The sequence below is a fragment of the Homo sapiens genome, chromosome 3 (genome assembly GCF_000001405.40).
Source record: "Homo sapiens chromosome 3, GRCh38.p14 Primary Assembly".
NCBI classification, from domain to species: domain Eukaryota; kingdom Metazoa; phylum Chordata; class Mammalia; order Primates; family Hominidae; genus Homo; species Homo sapiens.
Window position 1 is genome coordinate 49,689,532 of NC_000003.12, and position 25,685 is coordinate 49,715,216.

The 25,685-nt window shown below is 55.3% G+C and overlaps 1 protein-coding gene across 2 annotated transcripts in view, besides 1 other annotated feature; it reads left to right on the forward strand.

Moving 5' to 3' along the window:
- Window positions 26-25,685, forward strand: part of RNF123 (ring finger protein 123) — a 31,973-nt gene continuing 6,313 nt past the window's right edge. The window contains exons 1-31 of one of the 2 annotated variants that reach the window (NR_135218.2): window positions 26-75; window positions 1,599-1,716; window positions 1,894-1,978; window positions 7,612-7,691; window positions 7,832-7,926; window positions 8,354-8,408; window positions 8,521-8,606; window positions 8,909-8,995; window positions 9,224-9,291; window positions 9,449-9,574; window positions 9,937-10,051; window positions 10,137-10,241; window positions 10,696-10,821; window positions 10,941-11,033; window positions 11,105-11,178; window positions 11,960-12,077; window positions 12,280-12,379; window positions 12,552-12,613; window positions 12,803-12,874; window positions 13,102-13,222; window positions 13,896-13,997; window positions 15,119-15,225; window positions 15,453-15,655; window positions 16,003-16,148; window positions 16,451-16,534; window positions 17,260-17,367; window positions 22,948-23,361; window positions 23,982-24,056; window positions 24,207-24,294; window positions 24,379-24,466; window positions 24,559-24,643. Coding sequence is in view for 1 of the 2 variants with exons in the window: in NM_022064.5 (NP_071347.2) it covers window positions 1,635-1,716; window positions 1,894-1,978; window positions 7,612-7,691; window positions 7,832-7,926; window positions 8,354-8,408; window positions 8,521-8,606; window positions 8,909-8,995; window positions 9,224-9,291; window positions 9,449-9,574; window positions 9,937-10,051; window positions 10,137-10,241; window positions 10,696-10,821; window positions 10,941-11,033; window positions 11,105-11,178; window positions 11,960-12,077; window positions 12,280-12,379; window positions 12,552-12,613; window positions 12,803-12,874; window positions 13,102-13,222; window positions 13,896-13,997; window positions 15,119-15,225; window positions 15,453-15,651; window positions 16,003-16,148; window positions 16,451-16,534; window positions 17,260-17,367; window positions 22,948-23,125; window positions 23,982-24,056; window positions 24,207-24,294; window positions 24,379-24,466; window positions 24,559-24,643 (3,010 nt within the window). In the remaining variant the exon portion in view is untranslated. The remainder of the gene's footprint in view (window positions 76-1,598; window positions 1,717-1,893; window positions 1,979-7,611; window positions 7,692-7,831; window positions 7,927-8,353; window positions 8,409-8,520; window positions 8,607-8,908; window positions 8,996-9,223; window positions 9,292-9,448; window positions 9,575-9,936; window positions 10,052-10,136; window positions 10,242-10,695; window positions 10,822-10,940; window positions 11,034-11,104; window positions 11,179-11,959; window positions 12,078-12,279; window positions 12,380-12,551; window positions 12,614-12,802; window positions 12,875-13,101; window positions 13,223-13,895; window positions 13,998-15,118; window positions 15,226-15,452; window positions 15,656-16,002; window positions 16,149-16,450; window positions 16,535-17,259; window positions 17,368-22,947; window positions 23,362-23,981; window positions 24,057-24,206; window positions 24,295-24,378; window positions 24,467-24,558; window positions 24,644-25,685) is intronic. The other variant, NM_022064.5, reaches the window with a different exon arrangement.
- Window positions 14,025-14,319: a silencer, noted in NCBI's record as "tiled region #3541; K562 Repressive non-DNase unmatched - State 18:Pol2". NCBI's record gives its function as "represses a minimal TATA promoter and a strong SV40 promoter by Sharpr-MPRA in K562 cells {active_cell/tissue: K562}" and the evidence as "EXISTENCE:reporter gene assay evidence [ECO:0000049][PMID:27701403]".

The following is a 25,685-nucleotide window of genomic DNA, read 5'->3' on the forward strand; positions in this document are numbered from 1 at the left end:
TTGGCCCTGAACGGACGCCGTAGCCAAGAGGTTGGGCGGATGTTGTGAGCCGGGTCGCTGCGGCCGAGGCTCCGGGTGAGTGAGGGGCGGCAGGGCTCTGAGCCTGGCGGGTTCCGGCTATTCCCTTCGCGGTCCGGGCTAGTCCAGTGCGAGGGCACCTGCAGCGCAGGGATCTGGGTGCGAAACTCCGAGCGGAAGCTGGTCTGGCAGGTCCTGTGGAGCTTGGGGCCAGGCGGGGGCGACTTGGGGGAGCCATGCGCCGCCCTCGCCGTCCTTGGGCTCCCAGACGGAGTAGGTTCAGTTCTGAGTCCGGATACCCCGGCGGGGTTGGACGGGATAGCCGTGACAGGGAGTCCCCGGGCGGGGACAAGGTCCGCCTCTCACCTGGGTCCTCAGCAACTGACTCCCGGAGCCCACTCCGGGTGTCTGGAAGGTCTGCTCATCAAATGAATGACTGAGTTTAATCAGATCTTCAACTACTCTGGTAGTGAAGGGGCACCGATCATGGACGCCCACCGAGGGCCCGAGGTCGGGAAAATCACCTTCCCGAGGAGCAGGCGTGGTGCAGACCCACAAGGGTTTGTGGCGGGAGTAGAGGGTCTGTTTGGGGTGAGATAAGAGACTGAACTGCAGAGTAGGGAGTGCTGGCTAAGGCAGTGCTGCAGAGCGAAACTCTAGACCTGCGCTGTCTAATAGAACTTTATATGATGGTGGGAACGTTCTACCTTTGTGCTGTCCAACAGAGTAACCATTAGCCACATGTGGTCATTGAACTCTTGAAATGTGGCTAAGGCAACTGAGAAATCGAATTGTTAATTTTTAAAACTTTAAATTTAAGTAACCTCATGTGGATGACGGCTGCTGTGTTGGACAGCACCGCTACACATCAGTGAGGCCAGCACCAGGGACTCAGTGCAGGTTCTGGAGCAGCTGCAGCAGCAACATGATGTGAGGGATAGATGCACTAGGAGGACCAATGGAGTTTGCCATGAGGGCTGGGCAAGGGTGGTGCTTGGATGAGGTGGGAGGCCACATGTGTGAGTGGGAATGGTGAAACTATCAGGACCATGGATAAAAGAAGGGAGGAACCCAGGGCTGAGGAAAGAGGCTCCAGCCTTGTGGGGAGTAAGTGGGACTTATGGCTAGAGATGACCAGACCAGTGGTGGTCTGCACTTGGGGGAATGTGTAGGATTGTCGCTTCTGGTTGTGAGCTGGACTCAGTATGGCTTACAACTGAGATGGATACAGGGGCTCTGCCCCTAGGACACCTCACTTTGGACATTTTGGTCTGATTTCCACAGAGCTGAGACATTTTGTTATGGTTCGGCAAAAATATATCTAGTACCTGCTCTCTGCCCAGCCCTGTGCTGGGCACAGGGACACTGGAGAACAAGAAGTGGTCCCTGTTACATGGGCCTAGACCCTGGCTACCCTCCCTGTGTAGGAAGCTGGGAGCCCCTGCATTCCCCTGCCCTATGTGTTAGTGTGCATGCCCCTGGCCTCACCTGCTCCCAAGCCTTCCTGCCATGGCAGGACTGAGGTCAGGTGTGGGGGCCCCTGGCTGGCCCTGAGTAGACAGGCTCTGTGTCTGGCTCAGCCCCCAGGACCACTGGCTGCCCATGAGAGATGAAGGATGGCATCCAAGGGGGCCGGCATGTCTTTCTCCCGCAAGAGCTATAGGCTGACCTCAGATGCTGAGAAATCCAGGGTCACAGGTAAGAGCTGGCAGGGAAGGAAGGAGGCTCCTCTTGTTGGGAGGAGAAGGAAGGGACAAAGGCCTCAGGCCTTGCTGCACCTGTGGCTGGCCTAGGACCAGAAGTCTCTGGGGCCAGCAGGGGCCAGGAGCTGCACTGATCATGTGGCCCTTTTCTCCCTTCTGACTTGTGGCTCAGGCATTGTGCAGGAGAAGCTGCTGAATGACTACCTGAACCGCATCTTTTCCTCTTCTGAACATGCACCCCCAGCAGCCACCAGCAGGTATGGCTGGGTGGGTGGCCCCTCCTCACTCTGCTGGGCCAGACCAGAATAAGGAGGCTGCAGTTGTAGGGAAAGGGAGCCTGGGCTCTGGACAGATAGGCTTAGGCTCTGTTCTCACTGTGCTCCTGGCTGCGAGATCTCTGGCCAGAGAGTCTGCCTTCCGTACTCTGCTTCTTCCTGTCTCCAGGCAGTGCTAGTTCCTTCTGAGAGTCAGGGAGCAGAGGTCAGGGAGCGGGTGCACATTCATGCCCAGCTAGCACCTGGCACCTACTCCATACCCAGCATCTGCCCCTGCATGTACCTGCCCTCACCTTGGCCCCAGCCTGGCCCCTTGTAGCTTCTGACTGACCTTGTAAAGAACAAACTCCTCCAGGGCCTTTTCTTTACAAGTTTAATACTTTTAAGTGTAGTCAGTATAAAAGTTACAAGTACATTTTAGCAGAAACTTAGAGGGCCAGGCACAGTGGTTCACACCTGTAATCCCAGCACTTTGGGAGGCCAAGGTGGGTAGATTGCTTGAGTCCAGGAGTTCAAGACCAGCCTGAGCAACATGGCAAGACCCCATCTCTACAATAAAATACAGAAATTACCTGGGCATGGTGGTGTGCACCTGTAGTCCCAGCTGTTAGGGAGGCTGATGTGGGAGGATCACTTGAGCCTAGGAGGTTGAGGCTGCAGTGAGTTGGCCTCTGCATGCCACTGCACTGTAGCCTGGGTGACAGAGCAAGACCCTGTCTCTAAAAAAAGAAGGAAAAGCACCTGCTATCTTGTTATTTTAACATGACTATTCAAATGTGATTCTTTTCTGTTTCTTTCTTTGTGTTACATTTTTAATTTTTAATTTTTGTGGGTATGTAGTAGGTATATATATTTATAGGGTACATGAGATACTTTGATACAGGCATGCAATGCGTAATAATCACATCATGGTAAATGGGGTATCCATCCCCTCAAGCATTTATCTTTTGTCTTATAAACAATCTAGTTATACTCTTTTAGTTATTTTTAAATGTACAATTATTATTTACTATAGTCACTCTGTTCTGCTACCAGATAGGTCTCATTAATTCAATTTTTTTGTACGCATTAGCCATCCCCATCTCCCCACAAGCCCTATACTACCCTTCCAAGCCTCTGGTAACCATCCAGTACTTTGCCTCTATGAGTTCAATTGTTTTAATTTTTAGCTGTCACAAATAAGTGATAACATGCAATGTTTGTCTTTTTCTGCCTGGCTTATTTCATTTAACATAATGACCTCCAGTTCCATCCATGTTGTTGCATATTACAGGATCTCATTCTTTTTTATGGCCGAATAGTACTCCGTTGTGTATATGTACCATGTTTTCTTTATTTATTCATCTGTTGATGGACACTTAGATTGCTTCCAAATCTTGGCTATTGTGAACAGTGCTGCAACAAACATGGGAATGCAGATATCTCTTTGATATACTGATTTCCCTTCTTTCAGGTATATACCCAGCAGTGGGGTTGCTGGATCATATGGTAGCTCAATTTTTAGTTTAGTTTTTTTTTTTTTGAAAAATTTTTTTTTTTGAGACGGAGTCTTGCTCTGTTGCCCAGGCTGGAGTGCAGGGGCACAATCTCAGCTCACTGCAAGCTCCGCCTCCCAGGTTCATGCCATTCTTCTGCCTCAGCCTCCCAAGTAGCTGGGACTGCAGGTGCCCGCCACCATGCCCAGCTAATTTTTTGCATTTTTAGTAGAGACGGGGTTTCACCGTGTTAGCCAGGATGGTCTTGATCTCCTGAGCTCGTGATCCGCCCACCTCGGCCTCCCAAAGTGCTGGGATTACAGGCGTGAGCCAGTGTGCCTGGCCTTTTTTTTTTTTTTTTTTTTTTTTTTGAGATGGAGTTTTGCTCTTGTTGCCCAGCCTGGAGTGCAGTGGCATGATCTTGGCTCACTGCAACCTCTGCCTCCCAAGTTCTAGTAATTCTCCTGCCTCAGCCTCCCGAGTAGCTGGGATTACAGGCACAAACCACCACACCCAGTTAATTTTGGTATTTTTAGTAGAGATGGGGTTTCGCCATGTTGGCCAGGCTGGTCTCGAACTCCTAGCCTCAGGTGATCCTCCCACCTCGACGTCCCAAAGTGCTGAGATTACAGGCATGAGCCACCGCACCTGACCAATTTTTAGTTTTTTGAGGAACCTCCAAACTGTTCTCGATAGTGATTGCACTATTATAATTTACATTCCCACTAACAGCATACAGGGGTTCCACAACCTCGCCAGCATTTGTTATTGCCTGTCTTTTGGATAAAAGCCATTTTAGCTGGTGTGAGATGATATCTCGTAGTTTTGATTTGCATTTCTCTGATGACCAGTGACGTTGAATGCCTTTCCATATGCCTGTTTACCATTCGTATGTCTTCTTTTGAGAAATGTCTGTTCGTATCTTTTGCCCATCTTTTGATGGAATTATTAGTTTTTTTCCTATAGAGTTGTTTGCGTTCTTTGTATATTCTGGTTATTAATCCCTTGTCAGATGGGTAGTTTACAAATATTTTCTCCCATTTGTGGGCTGTCTCTTCACTTTGTTGATCGTTTACTTTGCTATGCAGAAGCTTTTTAACTTCATGTCTGTTTATCTTATAATGTATGTAGTTCAGATTATGCTGTATAGAAAACTTTAAAAAAATTTATCACCTTCAGTTCTTTTCTTAAAACGTTTTTATTGAGCTATGATTAATATACAATAAACTACACATACTTAAAGTGTACAATTTGATAAGTGTTAACATATATATAAAACCCGTGAAACCATCACTACCATCAAGGTAATGGACATGTCCCTCACTTCCAAAAGTCTATAGAAGTTTGCATCCTATTTTTATCATCAAATGTTATCCCGTGAGTATTTTTCCCCATTATCAATTTATCTTACTGAGCATCTTTAGGGCCAGGGGGTCTGCTGTGGCCCATACCAGTGCCCTAGTTTGGAAGGACTTTTGCTTTTGTAAACAATGCTGTGAGGATGCCCAGGGCTGGAGTCGTGTGGCTAGAGTGTTTGAACTGCAGTCACTTTTAAGACTGTTGCCAGATTACTTCTTCAAAGGATCAAGTAGGTTCTCCCTCCCTGCAGTGAGGCACGGTTGTCCCTGTCTCTCACCCCCTCATCAGCCTTAGCTGTTCTGTCTTTTACGACTTCTGCCCTTTAGGCAGGTCCAAAAGGCAGCAACGTTACCTGTTCTATTTAAGCAACTGTGGTGGTCAGAAAGTGCCTGCTTGCAGAGAGTTCCTGCCCACCCCCACCCCATACTCAGTCCTGGCCTGTTCTCAGAGCCATCTGATCCCTACCTCATGTGATACCAGAGATGGTCCTACTGCTGCTGCTGCTGCTGTGGCCGCCAGGAGAGACAGCAGGTGGTAGGGCTGTCAGTCAGTGGTTGTGGGTATTCAGGGCCCTGAACTGGGACCTAGGAGATCCAAAAAGGTCAGGGAAGTTGCTGGTCTTGGCCAAATGGGCAGTGCTGTAGGCACTCAGTGGTGGCTGTCTCAGGCCGACTGCCCACAGATATGTGCAGTCTGCTCTCAGGATCAGGCACACGACTTTTGGGGTCAGGTACAAGAGTAGCTGCTCCAAGTGTGGGCTTGTTAAGAACTGTTTTCTTTTGAGACAGGGTCTCGCTATGTCACAGTCATAGCTCACTGCAACCTCAAAGTCCCAGGCTCAAGGAATCCTCCCACCTCAGCCTCCCACATAGCTGGGACCACAAGCACATGCCACAGCACCCAGCTAATTTTTTTTTTTTAAGAGACAGGGTCTTACTGTGTCACCCAGGCTGGTCTCAAACCCCTGGGCTCAAGTGATTCTCCCACCTCAGCCTCCCAAAGTGCTGAGACTACAGGTGTGAGCCACCATGCTTGGCCTGTAACTGCTTTTGAGGAAGGCTCCTTTATCCTTGGGCCCACTGGGGTATTCAGAGATGGGGTTGGCTTTAGCCTTCTATGCTACTAGCTGAGCACCCCGACTGCATAGCCACCACCTGGCCTTGGCCTGGGACAGAGCAGCAGTGGGGAGGGGCCTTTGTGCATCTCTGCTCCTACAGCTCAGGGCTGGGAGTGGCTTACACTGGGGAATATGTGATCCCTGAGCCTGGGTAGTGGCTACTTTGTCAGGGTGCTTGTCCAACCTTTGTCCCCTTCCAGAGCTTTCTGTCTGTGTGGATGAGTGGGGTAAGAACTGGCATTAAAGGTGGAAGAGCAGGTGGTGGCACCCTGTGGGCAGCCAGGTGTGTAATGGGCCTCTGTTCTGCCTGAGTCCTGCTGGTTACCACCACCTCACTCCCTGCTATTCTTAGCAGCTGAGCTCAGGACAGCACTGACTGGCATTAGACAGTACCCTTTTCCCTCTAGGCCTGTGTGTTGAGAGGATGAGGGGGCCACCCAGACAGATTTTTCCCAACTCCTTTGGCTCGGGTAGGTGGGTCATGTGCTCCGCTGACCATTTATGGACTGGCGGGTACAGGACAGAGCCATCCAGCAGCTCAGAGGGCTGAGCCTTTCATACTTCCAGAACATGTCCCATTCAACACAGACTCCCCTGGCTGGGTGGTGGCGAGACTGGAATCTGCCCCAAAGGAACCACAGGCCTAGGGGCAAGGGTTGGACTAGGTGGCCTTGGTACTGACCACTTTGGGAACCAGCATTTCTCCCAGCCTTCTTCTTCCAGACATCATCAGCACAGCCACCTTTGAGAGCGGACAGGTTATGTGCTATGCAGACAGCACTTGTTATTCCCTGGGCTCTTCACAGCATCTCTAACATAAGTCACTATTCTGTTTTTACAGATGAAGGAATTAAGACTTAGAGAGGGCTACTTTTTTTTTTTTTTTTTGAGACAGAGTCTTGCTCTGTCACCCAGACTAGAGTGCAGTGGCACGATCATGGCTCACTGCAACCTCCGCCTCCCAGGTTCAAGCAATTCTCCTGCCTCCGCCTCCCAAGTAGCTGGTATTACAGGCACATGCCACCGCGCCCAGCATTTTTAGTAGAGTCGCAATTTCACCATGTTGGCCAGGCTGGTCTTGAACTACTGACCTCGTGATCTGCCCGCCTCAGCCTCCCAAAGTGCTGGGATTACAGGCATGAGCCACCGCACCTGGCCACATACTTTTTTTTTTTTTTTTTTTGAGACAGAGTCTTACTCTTGTTGCCCGGGCTGAAGTACAATGACACGATCTTGGCTTACTACAACCTCTGCCCCACCAAGGTTCAAGCTATTCTCCTGCCTCTGTCTCCCGAGTAGCTGGGATTATACGCATGCGCCACCACACTCAGCTAATTTTTGTATTTTTAGTAGGGATGGGGTTTCACCATGTGGCCAGGCTGGTCTCGAACTCCTGACCTCAGGTGATCTGCCCGCCTCGGCCTCCCAAAGTGCTGGGATTACAGGCATGGGCCACCACACCCGGCCTGGACTGGTTATACTTTTGAGTTTAGTGGAGAATTCGGCCTTCTGACCTCCTGCATGCCAGAGTCTAGGACTAGGCACAGCCCTTTTTCTGGAGTCTAGGCAGCCCCCCTGTGAGCTCAGGGGAAAGGATGGGATTTAGTGTCATCTGGCTGATTTCAAGGACTTGTGGACCCCTGGCAGCCTCTCACTCTCCCCAGGAAACCCCTGAACTTCCAGAACCTGCCAGAACATTTGGACCAGTTGCTACAGGTGGACAATGAGGAGGAGGAAAGCCAGGGTATGTGGCCACCTCTGGAGTGGGGTTGGGAGGTGCAGAGCTGGGACGTAGCGGGCCTGGAGACGTCTGGTGAGCTCAGGACACCCTATGCATCCTGTCAAATGCTCCACCCTGCCTGACCCCACCTCTCCTCTTTTCAGGACAGGTTGAAGGGCGGCTTGGCCCATCCACTGTGGTCCTGGACCACACAGGCGGCTTTGAGGGGCTTCTCCTGGTGGATGATGACCTGCTGGGGGTGAGTGAGGGTGAGGTGTGGAGACCCAGGTCCAGCCCCTTCTGACATAGCCCCAGGCTCCTCCTGATGTGGCCCTAGTCTCTCTACTCATCTGATGGGGCTGCAGCCAAAACTTGTCCTGACGTGGCCCCAGACCATTGTGTTCTCAGTCCTCAAACTCTCCCACTAAAGCCCTGAAACAGTCTTGATGTGGACTCAGCCCCCAGCCCTTCCCAGCACAGCCCTGAGTCCCTCTCTCATCCTGCCTTGGCCCAGGATCCTTCCTGATACAAGCCTACCCGCTCCCACCGTCCTCAGGCACAGTGCAGTGTTGGCCGCCACAGGCAAATACCACCAGGGCTGGCTCAGTTGGGGATGGGGTCTTTTTCCCTTGGGGAGATGCTCTGTGTGCCTGGGAGCTAGCCCACCACCCCTCTTCTTCACCCAGGTGATTGGACACAGCAACTTTGGCACCATCCGCTCTACCACATGCGTGTACAAAGGTGAGACCTTACCCTGCTGTGGCCTAGGTAGTGAGGAGAAAGTTTAAGGGCCCAGGCATGAGGCAAGAGGCAGTCTTTGTCCACCTCGTGGCCCTAACTCAGCTCTTTCCAGGGAAATGGCTCTACGAGGTCCTCATCTCCTCCCAGGGGCTCATGCAGATCGGCTGGTGCACCATCAGCTGCCGCTTCAACCAGGAGGTACACGTTGGGGAGGGGACCCCTCCCTGGGCCCAGGGAGAGCTTCTCCTGCCACAGGCCTCATCAGGTCTCCAGATCCCCTCAGAACTGCCTAGGACCCTAACTAACCTGGACTGCCCTCTGGAGAAGAAACGTGTCCCACCCAATCCCAGGCACCCCAGCTCAGAGAATACCTCTTACTCTTTCCCTCAGATCATCTGTTCCCTTCTGTAGAGCCATATGCATCCAAGGCTGGTGATTGGTGGGCTCTGGCCCAGACCCTGCCTGCCTCACCAGGGACCTCATAGGCATTTCCTCCCTAGGAGGGGGTTGGAGATACACACAACTCCTATGCCTATGATGGCAACCGCGTGCGCAAGTGGAATGTGACCACAACGAATTATGGCAAGGTGAGAGCCAAGCCCCTGTGGGTCATCCGCCCCATGACTGTTACTACAGCTTATTTGGAGCCACTGGGCAGCCATAAGGGACTACAGGGCACCAGGGAAGGGTCAGGGACCCAGGTCCTTTGTCCTTGTGGCTAGTCTCCCTTGGGTGGTTCTGGAAACGCAGCTGGGGTTCAGAGTCAGCAGGCTGCTGGGCTTCTGTGCATCTGGTGAGGCCTCCTCTCATGGCAGGCGTGGGCAGCGGGGGACATCGTGAGCTGCCTGATTGACCTGGATGATGGCACTCTGTCCTTCTGCCTGTGAGTTTCCTATCTCTATGCACAGGCCTGGCCCCTGGGGCCTCCCCAGACTGCCCCCAGTTTCCTGGGCCCTGTAAGGGGCCAGACTGAGTTTGATAGCCTGAGGGTGGGCAGCCACATGCTTAGCACTGGCTCACAGACCCACCCTTCTCCCCAGGAACGGTGTATCACTGGGCACTGCCTTTGAGAACCTGTCCAGGGGCCTGGGTATGGCCTACTTCCCAGCCATCAGCCTCTCTTTCAAGGAGTCCGTGGCCTTCAACTTTGGCAGCCGTCCTCTGCGATATCATTTTGTGAAGATGGCTGTGGGCTGCTCAGAAGCTCTTGGGGAGGCTGGGATGAGGGGCTCCCTACCCCAGGGGTGCCATGGGCTGGTGGCAGGCCCTGGCTGCTGCAGAGTTAGTGGGGGGCCATGTAGAGTGTCGAAGAAAACTTTCCTCGCAGCAGCCTGGTTGGTTGGGTGCCCTTGTCTCCACTGAACAGATGAGGAATGTGAAGCATCCTCCCTAGGGAGAATAAGTGGGCAAGTTGTGATGCAAACCAGCCCTGCCCTAGAGCCCAGGCCCCGGGGTGGGGGGTGGGCAGTGGAGAGGGAGTAGGCATGTCTGAGCCACAGATAAGGCGTTGCTGGCTTAACTCTGGCACCTACCCAGTGGCAGGCTACCGGCCCCTGCAGGACCCACCGAGTGCTGACCTGGTGCGGGCACAGAGGTTGCTGGGCTGCTTCCGGGCAGTGCTGAGTGTGGAGCTGGACCCTGTGGTGAGCTGGGGTCTGGGCCAGGCGGGGTGGGGGGCTTCCACAGCCTCCTGCCCCTCACACTTCTCCCTCCTCCCCCTCCACACAGGAGGGGCGGCTGTTGGACAAGGAGAGCTCCAAGTGGCGGTTGCGGGGCCAGCCCACCGTCCTCCTCACACTGGCCCACATCTTCCATCACTTTGCACCGCTTCTGGTGAGCGGCATTGGGAGGGGCATGGGAGGGGAGGAGACAGGCCATGCTAGACACGCCCGTGGTAGATGTGCCCTCACTGAGGGCTGCAGTGCTGAGGTCCCACAGCATCACCTGGCGAGGGCCCCATGTGACCAGGGCCCTCAGACCTCAGTCAGTCCCCTAGGGAAACAGGGACATTGCCAACCAAGGGCATCAGGGGATGTCCTGGAAAGAAGACTGAAGGATAATAACATCCCAGGCCAAGGAAACTGCGTGTGCCAAGCCTTAGAGGAGCCGTGGGGCAATGGCCTTCTTGTCCCTCAGTCAGACCCCGGAAGGGGTCATCTATGTTTGGTGTTGCTCGAGTGGCTCAAGGCTCTGTGCCTGAGGCTTGTGCCTTGGCCATGTGCCAGGGCAGGGGTGCCTTGACCAGAGTGGAAGGCCACCACCTCACCAGTGCCTGGCCTTGGTGCAGCGCAAGGTGTATCTGGTGGAGGCTGTGCTCATGAGCTTCTTGCTGGGCATCGTGGAGAAGGGCACACCCACACAGGCACAGTCCGTGGTGCACCAGGTCCTGGACCTCTTGTGGCTCTTCATGGAGGTGAGGCTCCTGACCTCAGGCCTCAGGCCTGGCTGTCAGTCTTCACTGGGGTCGGGAAGATACGGGGAGAATCTTGGAAAAGGCCCCAGTCATGGCTGCCTTGGCATCTCTTCCCCCAGGACTACGAGGTACAAGATTGCCTCAAGCAGTTGATGATGTCTCTGCTTCGGCTGTACCGATTCTCACCCATTGTCCCAGACCTGGGCCTACAGGTGGGAGCCCCTACCCCTGCCCTGAGCCCCCTGGGACTCGCCTGTCCACTCTGAACGCCCCCTCTCCACAGATCCATTACCTGCGGCTCACTATCGCCATCCTGAGGCATGAGAAGTCCCGCAAGTTTCTGCTTAGCAATGTCCTGTATCCTTTCCTTGCTGCCTGGCAGGCCAGACATGGGGTGCCCTCTGGACTCAGCAGAGGCCAGGAAGGGGAGTGTCATCAGGCCAGGGGTCCCCTGGGAGCATCAGGAGGACCAGAGCTGCCCAACGTGGCATTTTCTCTACAGAGCAAGGACGAGAGAGCAAAGGACTGAGCCTGGCCAGCCAGCCTAGCCAGGGGGTTCTGAATGACTGCAGACTCGGGCTACGCAGAGGTGTGGGAGGGGCCACAGGGCCTGCCCTCTTCGGCCACAGCCCAGCACTTTTGTTCATGTTCCACAGTGGGGATTCCTGCAAGATCTTTAAGGAGGCAGCTCTTCCTGCTTCCCAGAATTGTTGGGAACTGCATGAGTGAGTGAGAGCATAGCTTTGAGCCCCTGGCTGGGAAGCCTCAGCTTGTAGCCGTTTTCTTGGTCTGGGGTCTTCCAGCCTCCAGGAGGCAGACACAAAGCTGGGAGACACAGAGGTCAGAGTTGGGGCCTGAGAAAAGGCCACCAGTCCCTCTCTCCAGCTTGTCCCACAGTCATCTGTTCCTGTGACAAGCCCTTATCGTGCACCTGCTGGGTACTGGAGCTGGTGGGCTTAACCACCACAGCTTTTTGTCAGGGAGCATGCCCTGGGGGTCAGACACATAGCAGCAACATGCCCCTGTGGTGGTGGGAGAGCTGTGGTAGGCACATCCAGGGATGGGCTCCTGGGGAAGGACTCTTGAGGGTGTGCAGAGTGCCCTTTGGCAAGCAGAGCCCTGCCTTGACACCCGCCAGCTTCGACGTGCTCCGCTCCGTCGTCTTCTTTTACATCAAGAGCCCCCTGCGTGTGGAGGAGGCCGGCCTGCAGGAGCTCATTCCCACCACCTGGTGGCCCCACTGCTCCAGTAGGGAGGTGAGTGCACCCCAAGTGGGATGGGCAGAGGTCATGGCAAGGCCCCTGGCCTGGGCATCTGGCCACTGGGCATCTAGCATGAGGCCTTTTCACTGGCCCTGGTCCCTGAAGCCCTGGAGATGGAGTGTGGGTGTTCTGAGTGAAGGAGGCCTGGCTAGGTCCCAGGTGACCCTGCTGTATTCCACCTGCTACCCCTGCCTAGGGCAAAGAGAGCACGGAGATGAAGGAGGAGACCGCAGAGGAGCGGCTGCGGCGGCGAGCCTACGAACGGGGCTGTCAGCGGCTCAGGAAGCGCATCGAAGGTCAGCCCGCCTTGGGCACGGGGTAGGGTGGGAGGTGTGTGTGTGCACATGAGGGTGCTTGGAGGTGCCCATGTCTAGGTGGGACTTGGGGAACCCTGGTGGTGGAGCCCTGGCCCAAACCTGCCCCCCATCTCCTGGAGCCTGAGGGCCATGTTCCTCACCTGACCTCCAGTGGTGGAAGAACTACAGGTCCAGATCCTGAAGCTGCTGCTGGACAATAAAGATGACAATGGGGTGAGTGACTCCCAGGAGCCCTGGGTGGGGCCCTGTGGGGAGGGATGCTGCACTGGGCCTTAAGACCCAGAGGGTGGGAACTGGGTTTGGTTCCCATGGCAGGGGCTGGGGGAAGGTGCAGCACTGAGCCAGCCCAGTCTGGGCCTGCATTCTCAGCTCAGCACAGCCTCACTTTTCCCTCTCTCAAAGGGTGAAGCTTCTAGGTATATCTTCCTGACCAAGTTTCGCAAGTTTCTGCAGGAGAACGCCAGTGGCCGGGGGGTAGGTGTCCTCCAGGCCAGCCCACTGTGGATCCCCGGCTGCACTACACATGCCATGCCCTCAGCACCTGGCACTTCTCGGACTGCCTCATCCCTGCCTAGCCCCAAGCTTTTCTCTGCTGCTTTTCCCTCCCTGCTTAACCCTCGACCCTCAGGCAGGGCCTTGGATGAGGAATGGGCAAGGCACTGGACTGGCACCAATGCATGTTTCATGCCTGGTGTCCACAGAACATGCCCATGCTCTGCCCCCCTGAGTACATGGTCTGCTTCTTACACCGGCTGATCTCTGCCCTGCGCTACTATTGGGATGAATACAAGGCTTCCAATCCTCATGCTTCCTTCAGTGAGGGTGAGTGGCACCGGGGTCCCAGGTCAGTGAGGCTGGACAGAGCCAGGCGTAGGGCAGCCCCTAATGTTAGTGCAGAGTGCTGAGCTGAGGCTGTGGGCTGTGGGGAGTTGTCCCCGGCATCCTGCCTGGTTGAGTCCTACCCAGCCACAGGCGGCTTCTCCACTGGGGCAGCAGGAGCCCTGCACCGCAGGCCTGCCGATCCTGTGTTTGCTCTGATTGTCCCACGGGCTCCTACCATTGTGGGCTCTTTTCTTCCGTCCTTGCCCCCCCATTTCTCTGTGCGTCCTTTATAGGGCTGCCTTGGGTGGGTGCTGGGGGGCCCTGTGTTTGAGTCCCCAAGGGTCAGTGGGAGCCTTACCTGCCCTGGATTGGGGGATATCCCACAGGACTGGGGCTGGGCCTCTCTGCTTCTCCTGAGTGAACGGCTGCCATGAGTACCCCCATCACCCCAAGTTATGCAGCTGCTGGCTCTGACCTGAAATGGCAGGGGTGGAGAAGAGGTAGGGGAGGTCTGTTTCTTGGTCCAGGAGACAGTTTCTCTGTCTGCCTGGATGGGTGAGTGGCCAAAGCCAGAATTCCCAGGCTGTGCTAGGCCAGATTGGAGGGGAGGGCTGTGGGGAGGGTCTTCCTACTGGGCCGTGACCACTGGCCTAGCCTCCTCAATTCCTCGCAGAGGCCTACATCCCGCCCCAGGTCTTCTATAATGGCAAGGTGGACTACTTTGACCTGCAGCGCCTGGGGGGCCTCCTCTCGCACCTGCGGAAGACCCTCAAAGGTGTGTACAGGCCTGTGGGCCGGGAGCAGTTCTGGGGCCAGGTGGGGGACTGTCCCTGAGCCTGCTCTGCTGTGGATGCTGAGCCATCCTATGGCCACCAGAGGGTGCCCAAGTCTTTCCACCCACTCAGGCAGGGAGACACTGATCTGCCTGCCCTACATCTGGGCAGCTTCTCTTTCCCGCCAGCACCCACGCCATAGGGGTCGGGCGTGCCTGGCAGGGGACCAGGGATCTTGGTGAGGTGTGGATGGGGCGTGCAGGTGCTGCCGGAGCTGCCTTCAGGGATGAGCACAAGCTGCCCCGGTGCAGGGCTGAGGGCACAGCGAGAGCAAGGCCCTGAGCCGGGCACAAGGGTGGGTCTGTGCTGTCAGAACCTCTCTCTGGCTGCCGCAGTGTATACGCCGGAGTGCAGGGGCTGAGAGACAGGGAGCCCAGGTGTCCCCACACAGGAGATAAGGGCCTGCCCAGGTAGGTAGGGGAGGGCACAGGTGGAGGAGAGGAGTCAGGATGACCCCAGGCTTCCTGCCAGAGGTTGTGTGGATGGGGTGCCATCAGGGAGAGGGGCTGCAGGAGGTGGTGGAGATGAGAAATTCTGTTTGGACACAGCGCGTTTAGCGGGGAGCAAGGCCTGGGCGGGGGGCAGCGAAGGCGGGGTCAGTTGTCAGCACGGTGGTGGGGATGAGCCTGGGATGAGGCTTGGCTCCCACTGGGAGTGCCCAGAATGAAGCAGCCCTGGCATCTCCTTTTGTTTATGGAGTAGTCAGAGAGTGGGGGAGGCCCTGGAGAGCAGGAAGTCCTGGGAAACAAAGCCAGGGACCAGCAGGAAGGGCATGATGGGCTTACATCTATGTAGAATAAAGAAAGTCAATTTGAAAATAAATGAAAAAGAAGGGTGTGATGGGGAAGGCCTCCTGTTACTGAGTGGCAGCTAGACGGGGCCCTTGAGATGCAGAGTGAAGGCTGGGTGGAGGAGGCGGAGGGGCGAGGGGCAGATACGGTGCTAAACCGGGCTCTGCAAGGCCTCCTGCCCAGTGTGCTGGGCTCTCTCACCGTCCTGGGCACTTCCACTGTGGCCCCTTGCGCCACCACTGGCCTGAGAACCCTCCTGCTCTTCCTCCCAGATGACCTTGCTTCCAAAGCCAACATTGTGATCGACCCACTGGAGCTCCAGTCAACCGCCATGGATGACCTAGATGAGGATGAGGAGCCAGCCCCAGCTATGGCCCAGGTGCCGCAGTGGGGGCAGGCGGTGGGATTTGTGTTGGGCTTATCCTGTATCTTATGGGCAGGGGTCTCATCCAGGGCCACTTCCCGCTCCATGCAGGCAAAGGGTTTCTCACTGGGCTGGTGCCTTGCTGTGGGTGGAGGCATGGACCCTCCCTCACAATTCTGCAGCCCCGTGGGCCAAGGGAACCCTGAGCCAGCCCTGGTCCTGGCCGCCTTTCTTCACTGCAGCGCCCCATGCAGGCCCTGGCTGTTGGGGGGCCACTGCCCCTGCCCCGGCCCGGCTGGCTCAGTTCTCCAACTTTGGGCCGAGCCAACCGCTTCCTCAGCACAGCGGCTGTGAGCCTCATGACCCCACGGCGGCCTCTGAGCACCTCGGAGAAAGTGAAGGTCCGCACGCTGAGCGTGGAGCAGAGGACCCGTGAGGACAGTAGGTGCTTGGTGGGGTCAGGCAGGTCCCCGAAGGACCCTTCCACAGTGTACAGTCCCCGATCCGGGCAAAGCCAAAATACACCCCATGCCCTCCCAGCCCTGTGGCCTGGCAGCATCCCAGGAGTGCAGGAAGCACACTCCGAGGGCAGGAGATCAATGCCGCAGAAATAGGTCCTGGCACCGCAGGCCTTGCCCTGCACTCCACCCCTACCCCCATGCCCCCATGGGCTCCCCGCGGGTCCCTCCTTGGGCACAGGAATGGGAGAGATGATTTCCTCTCCTGCTGTGAGGCAGGCTCAGGAGAGCCGGGATGGCCCTACCCTTGACCCTTCCCTCCCCAACTCCCCAGTTGAAGGCAGCCACTGGAATGAGGGCTTGCTGCTGGGGCGGCCCCCCGAGGAGCCTGAGCAGCCCCTCACCGAGAACTCGCTGCTGGAAGTCCTGGATGGGGCGGTCATGATGTACAACCTCAGCGTACACCAGCAGCTGGGCAAGGTCGTGCACTCTTGGACCCCGCATTGGGTGGCGGGTGTTGTGCGTGTTTGGTTGTGTGTGTATTCCTGTGTGCACATGGGCCCGCAGGGCTGCCTGTTCAAGACCGTGCATGGGAGCACATGCCTCAGCGAGGCTGGTTTCTGCTCCTGCTGCCTCAGTCTGACCTGCTGACTGTTGTGGGAATGGGACCGCCCTGGGCCTAAGGTTGGGACCTTGGCAGGGCTGGGGTCCAGACTGGGTCTGAAGAAGCCTGGATGAAGTGCCCAAGGGGCACTCTGGACATGTGGTCCCATGCTGTGTAGATGGTGGGTGTCTCCGATGATGTCAATGAATACGCTATGGCTCTGAGGGACACAGAGGACAAGCTCCGCCGGTGCCCCAAGAGGGTAAGGCCCACATAGTCTTGGTGAGGGGCAGCTTGCTTACTCGTACAGGTAACCACAGATGAAGTCTGGTTCTGGGGGCTGCCCTGGCAGTTCTCATCCCCACTCTAGCCCTGGCCATAGCACGCCAGTGAGAGTGGGGCTGGCAGCAAGGCCTGGCACCCATCACCAGTGTGGCCTGTGCCTAGGTGCCCCCCACCCCCTGGGCCCAATAAGTGCTGAAGCACACCCACTCTCCTCATCAATTATTCATTGACCCTGAGTGCTTCCTCGGCCACTTGCAGAGTCAGCAGGAAGCAGGGCCTGGCTCCACTGCACCCTCCGGAGCCCTCTGCTGTAGCTGCCCTAGCCCAGGAAGGTGGGGCCCAGTGTGTCCAGGCTGAGCTTCCCTGACAGCCCCCACCCACCCCGACCTGTCAGCAGATCCCTGGGTCTGGCAGCTGGGGGAGCAGCGGTTCTGGCATCAGGTCCCTGGGTGCTCTGGCCAGCGGCTCACAGACCCCCAGCTGGGCCTCACTTCCATGTCATGAGGGGACCACCATGGCCTTGTTCTGAGGCTGGCTCAGGGTCACCAGAGGGTCAGTGGCAGAAGAAGGTTTTGAAAAATGGAGCCCAATCCCTTGCCTGCTCCAGGCACTAGAGGGCCCTTCCTAGGCTGCCTGCAGGATCAGGGTGGACCTGGGTATGGGGCCATGTCTTGATTGTCCTCCTTTCCCCTTGGGTGGCAGAGGAAGGACATCCTTGCAGAGTTGACCAAGAGCCAGAAGGTTTTCTCAGAAAAGCTGGACCACCTGAGCCGCCGTCTTGCCTGGGTCCATGCCACTGTCTACTCCCAGGTGTGCTGGTATTGCAGCTGCCCCTTCCCGACCTCACTGTCTGGCCACGGGTCTAGCAAGATTGTGCCAGGGCCCTTGATGCCCCCACCCTCTCAGGCCTCTGGCACACACATGTCCCTTCCCACACTTCAGACTCCATCACCCCATGCCATGTCCCCTGTACCCCTCATGCTCTGTGGACTGAGGAAGCGCAGTTTCTGGACCTCCAGTTCGCCTCATAGACCTGTCCTTCGAGGAACAAACTCTGTCTGTCTGCCTCCCCTGCTCCCACCCCCTCCCAGTTTCTTGGCCCCCGTCCTTCTCTCCCAGTGCATCAGGGGCTCTGCAGTCTTTCCCGGAGGCACACTCCACCATCTGTGCCTGCCTCTGTCTGACTCATTACCACCCGAGGCCACTGGCTTGTTCCCCACTCACTCATTCACTTGCTCATTCATTCAATAACATGCACTCAAAACCTGGTGTGTGCCAGGTGCTGTCCTGGAACTAGGGACACACACACATTAATAAGTCAGAAAGATGAGCCTCTGCCTTCTGAAGGCACTCAGCCTGGTCAGATACATGGATGGACAGACAGATGGATGGGGCACTCCTGCTGTGACTGAAGTTTCACCCCCAGGCCTCAGACTCTCTGGACTTGTTTCCTCTCCCTGCCCCTCTTGGCATCTCTTCCCTAACCAGTGAGTGCCCTGAGGGTCTCTTCAGGTGCCCAGGTCAGGGTATCTGCTGTCTTCTTGGGCATACCCCTGCATGACTGGGTGATCGAGGCCTTTGGTATCCCCATTTCTATCATCTCTGCTTGCTGTTTCTTCTCATGGCTCTTTTGCAAAACCCAAACCACCTCCACCTTTTTCCCATTCGTGACTCTCCTGCTACCCTGGATGACCGTGCTTACTGCCCCATGACGGGAACTTCCTCTCCCTTCTGCCCTGAGATTTCCTGCCTGCCCACCTCCCTCAGAAGTTTGGCTGCCCTCTCCCACACTGTCTTCTCAAGACCCTTGCCCTCTCATCTCTCTGCCTTTTTTTAGTTATGCTAAAATATGTGTGACATAAAATGTACCATCCTAGCTGTGTTTTTTTTGTTTTGTTTTGTTTTGTGTTTTTTTTGAGACAGAGTCTCACTCTGTTGCCCAGGCTGGACTGCAATGGCATGATCTTGGCTCACTGCAACCTCTGTCTCCCGGGTTCAAGCAGTTCTCCTGGATTATAGATGTGCTACCGCGCCCAGCTACTTTTTGTATTTTTTGGTAGAGACAGGGTTTCACTTTGTTGGCGTGGCTGGTCTCAAACTCCTGGCCTCATGTGATCCTGCCACCTCGGCCTCCCAAAGTGCTGGGGTTACAGGCGTGCGCCACTGTGCCCGGTCACCCATCATAGCCATTTTTAAGTGTTAAGTCTATTCACATTGTCGTGCAGCCAATCTCCACACTCATTTCATCTTGCAAAACTGATACTCCGTGCCTGTTGAACAAAACCTCCTGTCCTCCCTTCCCCAGCTTCCCTGACAGCTCCCACCCATCCCCACCTGTCAGCAGATCCCTGGGTCTGGCAGCTGGGGGAGCAGTGGTTCTGGCATCAGGTCCCTGAGTGCTCTGGCCAGCGGCTCACAGACCCCCAGCTGGGCCTTACTTCCATGTCATGAGGGGACCACCATGGCCCTGTTCTGAGGCTAGCTCAGGTTGCCCCTGGCAACCACCATCCTACTTTCTGTCTCTGAATTTGACTATACTAAGCACCTCATCTAGGAAGAATCATACACTATTTGTTCTTTTGTGTATGGCTTTAGCATAATGTCCTCAAGGTTCATTCGTGTTATAGCATGTGTCAGAATTTCTTCATTTTCCAGGCTGAATAATATTCTGTTGTACGGACACCACATTTCATATATCCAGTCCTTTGCTGATGGACACTCGGGTTGCTTCTACTTTGGGCTACTGTGAATAATGCTGTAATGAACATGGGTTTGCAAAGATCTCTTTGAGACCCTAATTTCAATTCTTTTGGTTATATACCCAGAAGTGGAATTACTGTATCATATGGTAATTCTGTTTTTTATTTTATTTTTAATTTTAATTTTTTATTTTTTTTGAGATGGAGTCTCACTCTGTCACCCAGGCTGGAGTGCAATGGTGCGATCTCGGCTCACATCCTGGGTTCAAGTGTTCTCCTGCCTCAGCCTCCCGAGTAGCTGGGACTACAGGTGCGCACCACCATGCTCGGCTAATTTTTGTGATTTTTTTTTTCTTTTTTTGAGGTGGAGTTTTGCTCTTCTTGCCCAGGCTGGAGTGCAATGGCGCGATCTCGGCTCACGGCAGCCTCTGCCTCCCAGGTTCAAGCAATTCTCCTGCCTCAGCCTCCTGAGTAGCTGGGATTACAGGCATGTGCCACCACGCCCAGCTAATTTTGTATTTTTTTTTTTTTGAGACAGAGTCTCACTCTTTCACCCAGGCCGGAGTGCAATGGCGCTATCTCAGCTCACTGCAAGCTCCGCCTCCCGGGTTCACACCATTCTCCTGCCTCAGCCTCCCGAGTAGCTGGGACTACAGGCGCCTGCCACCACGCCCGGCTAATTTTTTGTATTTTTAGTAGAGACAGGGTTTCACCGTGTTAGCCAGGATGGTCTCGATCTCCTGACCTCGTGATCCACCCGCCTCGGCCTCCCAAAGTGCTGGGATTACAGGCGTGAGCCACCGCGCCTGGCCTAATTTTGTATTTTTTTTTAGTAGAGATGGGGTTTCTTCATATTGATCAGGCTGGTCTTGAACTCCCGACCTCAGGTGATTCGCCCGCCTCGGCCTCCCAAAGTGCTGGGGTTACAGGCGTGAGCCATCGCGCCCTGCAATTTTTGTATTTTTTGTACAGATGGGGTTTCACCGTGTTGGTCAGGCTGGTCTTGAACTGCTGACCTCAGGTGATCCGCCTGCCTCGGCTTCCCAAAGTGCTGGGATTGCAGGCATGAGCCACCGCGCCCGGCCAATTCTGTTGTTTAATTTTTTGGAAACTACCATATCATTTCTACAGTGGCTGTGCCTGTTACATTCTCACCAGTAGTGCATGAGGGTTCCAATTTCTCCATACATATCCTTACCGACACTTCTTATTTTCTGCCCTTTTTTTTTCTTGGTAGACGCAGGGTCTCACTATGTTGCCCAGTTGTCAAACTCCTGGGTTCAAGGAATCCTCCTGCCTCGGCCTCCCAAAGTGCGGGGATTATAGGCATGAGCCACCACACCCGGCAATTTCTACTTTTTTAATAGTAAATCCTAATGGGTAGGATATGGTACCTTATTGTGGTTCTGCATTTTGCTAATGATTAGTGACATTATGACAAATAGTACCTTTACAAGCACTTATTGGCCATTTGCATATCTTTTGTTTGTTGGTTTGTTTGTTTTGTTTTGAGAGGGAGTCTCGCTCTGTGGCACAGGCTGGAGTGCAGTGGCAAGATTTTGGCTCACTGCAACCTCTGCCTCCCAGGTTCAAGCGATTCTTCCACCTCGGCCTCCTGAGTAGCTGGGACTATAGGCATACGCCACCACGCCCGGCTAATTTTTGTATTTTTAGTAGAGATGGGGTTTCACCTTGTTGGTCAGGCTGGTCTCAAACTCCTGACCTTAGGTGATCCGCCTGCCTCGGCCTCCCAAAGTGCTGGGATTACAGGCTTCAGCAACCGCGCCTGGCCATATCCTATAATTTTGCTGAATTTATTTATTAATCCTAGTTGGGGTTTTGTGTGTGTGTGTGTATCTTTAGGATTTTCTACTTATAAAATCATGTCTGTGAACAGAGATAATTTTACTTTATCCTTTCCAGTGTGGTTTCCTTTCTTTTTCATGCTTAGTTGCTCTGGCTGGGATTTCCAGGACTGTGCTGAGCAGAAGTAGAGAAAGTGGCACACTTGTCTTGTTCTTGGTCTGAGGGAGGGAGGGATTATAGTCTGTTACCACTGAGTGTGATGTTAGATGGAGGCTTTTCATATATGGTCTTTATTATGTTGAACTGCCTTCATTCTCTGCATCTTCAGCACTAACTCACCTGTGTCTTTCTAATCCCATTATTAATGGAGAGATTCACTCCTGTAAACCAGCACTTTGGGAGGCTGAAGCGGGAGGATCACTTGAAGCCAAGAGTTCATGACCAGCCTGGGCAACCCATCTCTACAAAAAAAACAAAATTTAATTAGCGGGGCATGGTGACACATACCTGTAGTCCCAGCTACTCTGAGGTCAGGAGTTCAAGACCAGCCTGGCCAACATGGCGAAACCCCATCTCTCCTAAAAATACAAAAATTAGCAGGGCGTGGTATCACATACCTGTAGGAGGATCACATGAGCCCAGGAGTTCCAGGTTACAGTGAGCTGTGATTGTGCCACTGCATTCCAGCCTTGACGCTATATGTGCCCAAAAGTTATGCTCTCTCCTTCTTTCTCTGTCTTAGCTGCTACATCTTCCCCTTCATCTCCCTCCAGCACAGGCTCTTCCCCATCTCTGAAATAGTCTCACCAGGGTCTCTGTCTGCCCCCATCTCAATCCGGCCGGCACATTTCCATCTCCTTTGCATTGATACCTTAGCTCTGATGGGGCCATTGCCAGCCCCTCACCAGACACAGTCTTCGCTGGCCTTCTGTAGCAGCAGGATCATCGCTGCCTAGGTTTGCGCCTAGGCCCTCCCCTAACCTCTTGCTTACATCTTCTCCTCAGTTCCTTGGGCTTTAGGGCACATCAGAGAGCTGGTGTGAAGCCCAGGTGCTGTGACCGCACTCCAAGACACACGGGTGCTGTGGGTCTGGGCTGGGGCCTGAGGCCTCATTCTTGCCTGGGCTCCTTTGTGAGACCCTGACATAGACTTTGTGGAAACCACATTGTGGGGAGCAGGGCCCTCAGCAGGTTTTGTCTGTTTCCTGTGACCTCTGTTCCACCAGTCACACTGCCCCCTGCTTTCCCACCACCTTCTCCTTTGCACTCCAGATCAAATTTCTGCCTGTCTGCTTACCATCGCCAGCTCTCTTGGGCCCTTCACACACCTTGTACTCCACTTTTCCACACAGACTTCCAGTCACAGCACCCTCTTGCCTAAAACTTGCTTACAGGCTGAGGCAGGCAGATCACCTGAGGTCAGGAGTTCAAGACCAGCCTGGCCAACATGGCGAAACCCCATCTCTACTAAAAATACAAAAATTAGCCGAGCGCGGTATCACATACCTGTAGTCCCAGCTACTCGGGAGGCTGAGGCAAGACAATCCCTTGAACTTGGGAGGCGGAGGTTTCCAGTGAGCCAAGAGGGCGTCACTGCACTCCAGCCTGGGTGACTCCATCTCAAAAAAAAAAAAAACTTGCTTACAAATATGCTGACCAGAGTTCTGGCCTGGGTCACAGTAATGCGCCCTCCAGGCTGAGTGCGTCCCTCTTGCCTGCTGAGGACTTGATTGCCCTGCTTGAGCTACTGCTCATGCTTCCTGAAATCCAGGTCTCAGTTGTGCTGTCGTAGGCCTGGGGAGGCCTTTCCTGATCCCCAGGCCAGGACATGCCCCCAAGACCCCACTGGTGCGCAACCCAGCAGCACCCCGTGTGCCTCCTGCAGGAGAAGATGCTGGACATCTACTGGCTGCTGCGCGTCTGCCTGCGGACCATTGAGCACGGTGATCGCACAGGGTCTCTCTTTGCCTTCATGCCCGAGTTCTACCTGAGCGTGGCCATCAACAGCTACAGTGCTCTCAAGAATTACTTTGGTCCCGTGCACAGCATGGAGGAGCTCCCAGGTGATGGAACCATTCAGGCTGAGGCAGAAGCAGAAAAGGGGTCTCTAGTGTGAGCCCTAGGAGCCCTGGTCTGAGACCTCTGTGGCCCAGCAACACACTTCTGTGGGGGGCGGGGAGGGGAGGAGCTTCCTCTGTGGTTCACCCTGCAGCAAACAAACGTCTGCACCCTGCCCTGGGACCTGCAGCCACAGAGCCAACAGCTCCCTAGCAAAGGAAAACAGACAAGATGGAACACGGTGGGTGTAGACCTCTTGGCTTTCACTTCCTTCCTAGTGCTATGAGCAACTGCCATGGTCCAGGAGCCAGCTGGCCTTGCACCTTGACTCCCTGGCACTGGTCACAAAGCGTAGCAGTTGGTCAGGGGCAGAATGGTTTGTCTTGGTAAATCACAGCAGGGGGTGGACCCTGCTAGGGTCCACATCCGAACCTGGGCCTCTCAGCCTGCTGATTCCAGGCTGGGCGTGGCAGTGTATGTCTGGATCAGGCAGTGAGCTGTCAGGCCCCTAGCCTGCCCCCTGCCCAGCCACAGGCCTCAGTGCAGGCTTTGTCTTCAAAGACAGAGCTGTGAGTGCCCAAGGAGCTTTGACTGCTCATCAGGTGTGTGTGCTGAGATGGGTTTGAGCCCAGGTCAGGGCTCCTGCCAGGGCCTGTCATCCCTTCACAGTGAGCCTGTGCCTTAGCCCTTGCACAGCCACCAATGAATGCTTTGCCCGATGTCCCCAGATGCCACCCTGGGTCCAGGCTGGCCTTGGGAGCCAGCTCTAGAGCCTGCTACCCAAGTCCACCCACCCTGCTGACATGCCTGCCTCTGGAGCCCCCACTCCCAGCCGACACGTCTCACTTCCCACCCTTGCAGGCTATGAAGAGACCCTGACCCGCCTGGCTGCCATTCTCGCCAAACACTTTGCCGACGCACGCATTGTGGGCACTGGTGAGGGGCCCCTACAGAGGGTACAGGGGGAGGGGGATGGGATGGCACCTCTGGTCGGCTTTCTTCTATGAAAAATGTGGCCAGGTGGGCATGAAGTATGGGTCCAGGGCTCATGCCAAGCCCCTGCTGAGGCACGGTGTGTCCCCGCAGACATCCGAGACTCACTGATGCAGGCCCTGGCCAGCTACGTGTGCTACCCACACTCCCTGCGGGCTGTGGAGCGAATCCCCGAGGAGCAGTGAGTGGGGCCTGGGGGGCACACACCCTGGCCACAAGCACCATGCCCAGCCTCACCCCGTCTCTCCCCTCCTTGCCCTCACAGGCGTATCGCCATGGTGAGGAACCTCCTGGCGCCCTATGAGCAGCGGCCCTGGGCCCAGACCAACTGGATCCTGGTGCGGCTCTGGAGGGTAAGCCTGACTCGAGGGGAAGTGGCTGAGGCTGGCTGGAGGGAGAGGGTGCGCTGTCCCATTGACCTGGGCACTGACCCCCACCTCCACAGGGCTGTGGCTTCGGGTACCGCTATACACGGCTGCCACATCTGCTGAAAACCAAACTTGAGGACGCCAATTTGCCCAGCCTCCAGAGTGAGTATCTGGGTTGGGCGAGTCCTGGGCAAGGCAGGCGGGGGCGCTTACCTCCTACCCATGGGTTCTTTCAGACTCTCCACTTCTTCCAGCCCCTCTCTGGTTCCCCCATTGGGTCCCAGACTCCCTACGTGTCCCCTGGGGTTTCCACTTTCCCTGCTTCCTTCCAGCCCAAGGATACTCGGGATGGGACTCCCCCTCCCCAGCCTTGCCCACAGTCTTACCTACATGTGCCCTTTGGGCCTGGATGCTCTATGTGGGTCATGGTGAGAGGCGGCACCATGTTCCTGGCCTGCTACAGCTCATGCAGACTGAATACTCTGTCCCTTGCCCTTTAAGCTAGCTCCCTGACCTCCAGCCTTGTCCCAGCACCATGTCCTTCTGCTTCTTTTTTGCTATCTGCTGGTGGCAGACCCTGGCCTTGGCTTAGGCCTTGGACACCTGAGTCCACTGGGAGCACAGATTGGAGGTTGGCCAGGTCCCCAGAGGGTATTCACGAGAGTTCCTGGAGGAAGGGACATTTAGTTGGGAGCAGAGGCTGTGCCCTCTCTCCAGGGTCCAGCAAGGACTTTCCCCTAGGCCTGGCCCTTGCAGAGTGCCAGGTGTGCCACACACTGTCCTCACCCTTCATGGTGGCTCTTCTTGGCTCATGTAGTCTGTTTCTGCCCTTGTGGGCAGTGTTTTGGTCCAAAGGGTGTCCCCAGAGAGGCTGAGTGTCTTCTGCTAAGTCACACAGCAAGTCCTTGCCAATTGCCGTGGTCCTGCGTCCAGGGCGGAACTGAGCTGCAAGTGGAGAGCGGCAGTGGGGCCAGGCCTGTCCTGCTGCTGCGGGAACTATTGATTTGTATCAAGCTGGTGGGGAGGTGCGCCAGGCCCGTTGCAGCTGAGGGCTCCGGTTACTGCTGCCTGCCAGCCCAGACTTGGTGCCCACCACCTCGGCCATATGCCAAGGCCAGGCCAAGGGCAGCAGAGGACAGTAGAGGACAGCAGGTTTGCAGCAGGGCTTAGAGTAGGCTCTTGGAGGAGCTGGCCTTGGTGCCGG